The 5654-nt window shown below is 34.0% G+C and overlaps 1 protein-coding gene across 2 annotated transcripts; it reads right to left on the bottom strand.

Annotated features, from left to right (window-relative positions):
* Positions 1–228: 228 nt before the first annotated feature.
* On the bottom strand, positions 229–5425 carry OR4P4 (olfactory receptor family 4 subfamily P member 4). Of its 2 annotated transcripts, NM_001405919.1 has the most exons (2): positions 5322–5425; positions 229–2210 (listed from the first exon to the last, which is right to left on the bottom strand). In NM_001405919.1, the coding sequence occupies exon 2, from the start codon at positions 2178–2180 to the stop codon at positions 1242–1244; it is 939 nt and encodes a 312-aa protein (NP_001392848.1). In that variant the 5' UTR covers positions 2181–2210; positions 5322–5425; the 3' UTR covers positions 229–1241. The 2 variants fall into 2 exon arrangements, with proteins under 2 accessions (NP_001392848.1, NP_001004124.1); NM_001004124.2 differs by lacking the exon at positions 5322–5425 and having other exon boundaries at positions 1242–2180.
* Positions 5426–5654: the final 229 nt, after the last annotated feature.

The following is a 5654-nucleotide window of genomic DNA, read 5'->3' as shown; positions in this document are numbered from 1 at the left end:
GAAAGAATATTAATACAAATATAGTACTTACTATTTTCTTAAAATTGTTTTAATTACATTATAAAGTATAATGAAATAATAAAAGACATACATTCACCAAAAAAGACATGTGTCAAAATGTTCAAAGCCGCACTATACATAGTAACCCGAAATGGGAAACCACGCAAATGTCTGGCAACAAGGGAATGGATAAATCAATCATTATATATTCATATGATAAGATACCGTATACATCAATGAAAACAGTCAGAAAACTTACCAACATGAGAAATGACTCACAAATGAAACACTAAGAAGACACACACGCAGCAACAAAATGTAAATCACTCTTACTCTTCAAAGTACAAGAAAAGATAAAAACATTATTATTATTATTATTATTATCATTATTATTATTATTATTTCAGACGGAATCTTGTTCTGTCACCCAGGCTAGAGTGCCGTGGCATGATCTCGGCTCACTGCAACCTCCGCTTCCCGAGTTCAAGCGATTCTCCTGCCTCAGCCTCTCGAGTAGCTGGGATTACAGGTGCTCGCCCCTGCGCCCAGCTAATTTTTGTATTTTTAGTAGTGACGGGGTTTCACCATCTTGGCCAGGCTGGTCTCGAATTCCTGACCTCATGATCCACCCACCTCAGCCTCCCAGAGTGCTGGTATTACAGGCATGAGGCACCGTGCCCAGCCGAAAACTATTTATTTTAGGAATAAATATTGTGGTTAACTTTGGGAGGTATTAATCATAAAGAGGAATAAGGAGGACCTCTGATGTGCTGATAATTTCTGTCTCTTAATTCAGTTGCTGATTTCACAATCATGCTCAGTTTGCAAAAATTCGTGAGCTGTACACAGGCAATACATGCATTTTCTGTGTTTAGACTTGAGTAAAAATGTAAAAGCTGAGAGTAATATTTCATTGATCTTCTCAGAACTTTAAGGCACAAAAAACACATAATCTGTTTTATTTTTTCAACACAACGCCATGTAATCCTTTATTTTTAAGAAATTTTCTGGTTATTTCATGTCACATAAGCACAATCGTAATGATTAAGAAAGGCGGAGGAGAGTATGGATAAGAATAATGTTCAATTTGTTAAAGAGATGTCAATGTAGAAGTATAAAACCACAGAAGGGATATGCTTCCTGTTTGCCCACTTTTCTCTCCAAACATTAAGGACAAGAGCAAGATGAGAGTGAATTTTTCTCATTCATCAGGGAACCACGGCATGAAAAGCAGAAACAATTCAGAAAAGTTGATTTCTTTTCAGGAGTATTTGACAACACCACACTTTCCTCATGGCGTTCTTCATCTCTGTGTTTCTCAGCGTGTATATGAGAGGGTTGAACATGGGAGCAATGATGGTATAAAAAAGGGCAAACACTTTATCTTCTGAGAATGTTGTGACCGGTCTAATGTAAATGAACAATGCAGGTGCAAAAAACAGGACCACAACAATTACATGAGAACTACAAGTGGCAAGAGCTTTGCTGCGTCTCTCTGCAGAGTATGCTCTGATGGTATACAATATAAAAACATAAGACAACAACAAGACAACAAATGTCACCAAAGCAATTAAGCCTGAATTAGCAATGACTAAGAGACCTATCATGTGTATATTAGAACAGGCCAATTTCAGCAAAGGATACACATCACAGAAGTAGTGATCTATCTCATTTGGGCCACAAAATGGTACAAAGATGGTGAGAAGAAACTGACTGGCAGAATGTATAAATCCCCCAGTACAACAAACTATGATGATTGTGTTACACTTTTGCCTGCTCATAATAATGGTGTAGTGCAGGGGCTTGCAAATGGCCACATAGCGGTCATAGGCCATCCCTGTGAGAATGAAGATCTCTATGCCTCCAAAAAAATGGGTGGTAAAGAGTTGTATCATACAGTTATTATAGGAAATGGTCTTTCTTTCTGCCAGTAAGTCAACCATTAATTTGGGGGTCACTGTGGATGTGTAGCAAAGGTCGGAGAGTGAGAGGTAATTGAGGAAGAAATACATGGGTTGGTGAATGAGCTGGGTGCACGTGATAGAAATCATTATGAGTAAGTTTCCCATCCAAATAGCAATGTAGCAAAACAAAAATAATACAAAGCAGAGGACTTCAATGTTCTTATTTTGGGAAAACCCCAAGAGAATAAACAAAGTGCTATTATTGCTTTTTTCCATGGTCCAGTGTAGATAGAACATATAAGTCACCTGAAATGACATAATTTATAAGCTTACAAGTCTTTGTTAAGAAGTACAATGATCATATTTTATTTGAGGAACTAGCTAGATTTAATTTACCTCATTCAAGTGGTTCAGAGAGTAAATATCTGGTATTCAATTAAAATGGCTTTCTAATAAGACTCTCCATGTATATATATACTAGATGATTTCCATTAGCTCTCTAGCACACTGTGATCAATCCCTGCCCTAGTAGGTATGAATTCTATTGTTCAATCAACAATATTAAAATTCTATCATAGGGAATGTTTATTTCCAAAGTCTAATGTAATATACAATATTGTAATACAAAATAATTCCTTGCAAAGGATACTGCTTTTACTCTCTGGGATTCAAAATTTATTAAGGAAACAAGTCATACAAATATTATTTTTTAAATAATGTAGAAAATTCATTGAATTAACCATAGCACTAAGCATTAGCAATATTGATATCAACAAATGGGATTTGATTGCATAAACTAAAACCAACGTTGTAGGTGGTGAACAAACATATCTTAAGTTGTTAGTCTTGAATGTTGCTGCAAAGATGACACTGAATTATCCAATGTGTTTCATTGCTTTCTAAAAATAATATTACATCAAAATATTTTAATTAATTCTTACCAGATGTCCTCAGAATGACTGTCCATTTATAATATACATTTTCAGCCCTAATTTCATTCTTGACTTCTTAAACCCCCTTAAATTTCTTCCTCATCTCTCCATGTTACCAAGTTAACATTGTTACCAATACAATGAATAATTTCATTGTAATAGAAATTGAAATTTCAAGAAGACATTCATTTTCATAGTGGAATTTCAAGAACTAGAATTAGATTAAAGGCACTTTTTTGAGAAAAAGGTTATGATCTTCTCCATAATCACACTAATCTTTGCCAATAAATAAGAAAGGCAATTTCATTTTATTTGAAGAAGAAAATTATAATATTGAATACACTACTAGTTTGAATTATTCTTAAAATTGCTTCTTATACATTTCCATTTTCACAAATTTATGTATGTTATTTAAAACCCACCTGAAATACACTTCTTAACCCCAACAAGCATATTAAGACTCTTACATAAAATTAAGCCTGTAAGTAAAGTAAGGCACAGAATGTTCTCAGACAAAACCAGTGCATCAATCTGTCTTCATTTACTGTAAGTTTACTAACAACGTAATTTGAATCCCTATAATTGTTGTCTTGGTTTTGTCAGCTACAGCTGATGACTAAATTCTCTACCTGGCAATTTTTCTTCTGGGTTCAACTTTTTTACAGACATAGAACCACCATGTTTAACTACTACAATGTTAGTGCTTTTTTTTAATTTACCAGTAAAAATCTAATCATGCTTTATAATTTGGAGGCAATCCCCGTTACTTGTCTTAATTCAGCCACTAACTTCAAATGTAATCTTGCAAATTTTATAACTTGTTTTAAAATGCTTTATCTTCACTTTAAATGTAAGGAAATATGTCTTCCTCTGTGTACTTAGAGATTGATGCTGAAGCTCAACCTTAATAATAGATGATAAAGGACATTTAAAAGAATAAAATAGTGTACAAGGGATGATATCGTTGTGCTAATATCAATATATCACAAGGAAAACACATGAAAATTACATTAGGATTCTAGAGCTTTAGGAAATTGTACATAGTAACACAAATGGTATATAGCAAACTAAGGCTTAAAATCTGAGTTCTCTGACTCCAAAGTCTGAATTTATAACCCTCTCACCATATGTCCATGTGAAAGTAAGAAAACTCACACGGGATAAACTGAACATTAATCCTGACTGTCCCAACTCTGAAGTTTGCATACATGTCTGAATTTCTCAGGCAAAGTAGGACACTTCTTGAATTTCAGTCATCGCTCCATTTTAGACAGTGATACTTAAATGGAAAATGTCTAAGTTGAAATATAGAACTATAAATTAGGCCAAAGTATTTATTAAAAACACAAACTGAATCAGTTCAGGATCCTTATATAAGCCAGCTCTAGAAAGCAACAAAAGTACAGCTCACATATTTCTGCAGGAAGCAAGATATATTTTGTTCTCCCAAACATGAATAGCAATACTGCATTTTCAGCTATTGTCCCCGTAAGAAAAATTGCTGGGGGAAAAGTGATTTGAGTGTATACCCTAACACTGCCACTTAGATTTATGACCTTATATTCTTGGCGCATATGTTTCCTTTCTGCAAAATGAGGACACTAGCCTCAATTCTATCTAAGAACTCTTCTCACAATATCATTTTCAGAATTACTTTCTTTTTTGTCAAAGTTTTTCAGGCTATCTCTCAAGAGTTGTAACAGCATGTCCCTTTTCTCACATGCAGTTCTCCAAGAAAGTAGGTGCTATTATCTGTTGACATTTATCTTATTTTTCTAGAATATGTCATCTCATCCCCAGTGGACAATCAGGTCCTCCTTAAGCTTAGTGTTCATTTAATCCAAAAATGTCTTAGTCTATAGAATTTGCAGTACAGCTTGTTTAAAAATTAGCAACTGCTTAATATGATTTCTTAACACAGGAGTAAAAAATATATTTTCAACAAATATCACATGTTTATGAGGGCAATGCTAAGAGAGAAAAAAATAATTGACTCACATATGCTCTGAATTTATTCAGAATCTCTTCCTTTTTCCTTTATAGTCGATTCTGTCCTCTCTTCATTGAAAGTAGTCATTCCCTAACTATTTAAATTGTTTCTTTGCAACATCTGACTTGACATCTTCAGCATGTTGAATGCTACTGATATTTCACTTTCTATTTTCCCCAACTTATGCACAAGCAAACACAAAATTCATACCATGTTAGTAACTATTACCTGTCATATCACCAAATCAAATAAATGATGGGAGGCCACCCCATAAAAAAAAGTTTGAAGGCAAGAGGAGTACTTGCCTTGTTTTCAAAAACTACTCAAATCATAGTCCAAAGAGAACCAAGTGATTTCTGAAGGTGTTCAAGCTCAAATGCCAGGCAAAATTTTAGGTAAAGGCTATATTCTAAAGTTACATTTTTATTTCTTCCCAAGGCATTTCTTACTTACTTACAGTTAATTATTTATATGTCCCCCATGTAATCAACTCACCAATTAGCATCCTCTTAGACCCACGTTACCAGAGCATGTAACTTGAATCCTATTTAATACAAAGATTTTTATGACTGAGATCTGCCGTTTATGCAATTTGAGTTTCTTTTTCCATTCTCTATAATCTGAGAGGGAAACTCTAGTTCTGGTTCTTATGTAAGAAAATTACTTCCATCAATTCCCATGCAGTGCTTTCATCATGTTCTCTGGGGAAGAAGTATGTGTTCTTACATACTTTATTTACCTTTAAGGTGACTTGTCAGGAAAAGTATAACTTTTTTGAGTTTACAAAATATTCATTTTAATATTTGTCAACAATACCGTTGAACATTC

This window comes from Homo sapiens, chromosome 11, assembly GCF_000001405.40.
Source record: "Homo sapiens chromosome 11, GRCh38.p14 Primary Assembly".
In the NCBI taxonomy this organism is placed as follows: domain Eukaryota; kingdom Metazoa; phylum Chordata; class Mammalia; order Primates; family Hominidae; genus Homo; species Homo sapiens.
Note: the sequence above shows the minus strand (reverse complement) of the source record. Positions and strands in the feature narration are given on the sequence as shown.

Excerpts from the sequence above, each read along its gene's own strand:
- OR4P4 (NM_001405919.1), bottom strand. The coding sequence starts at position 2,180 with ATGGAAAAAAGCAATAATAGCACTTTGTTTATTCTCTTGGGGTTTTCC.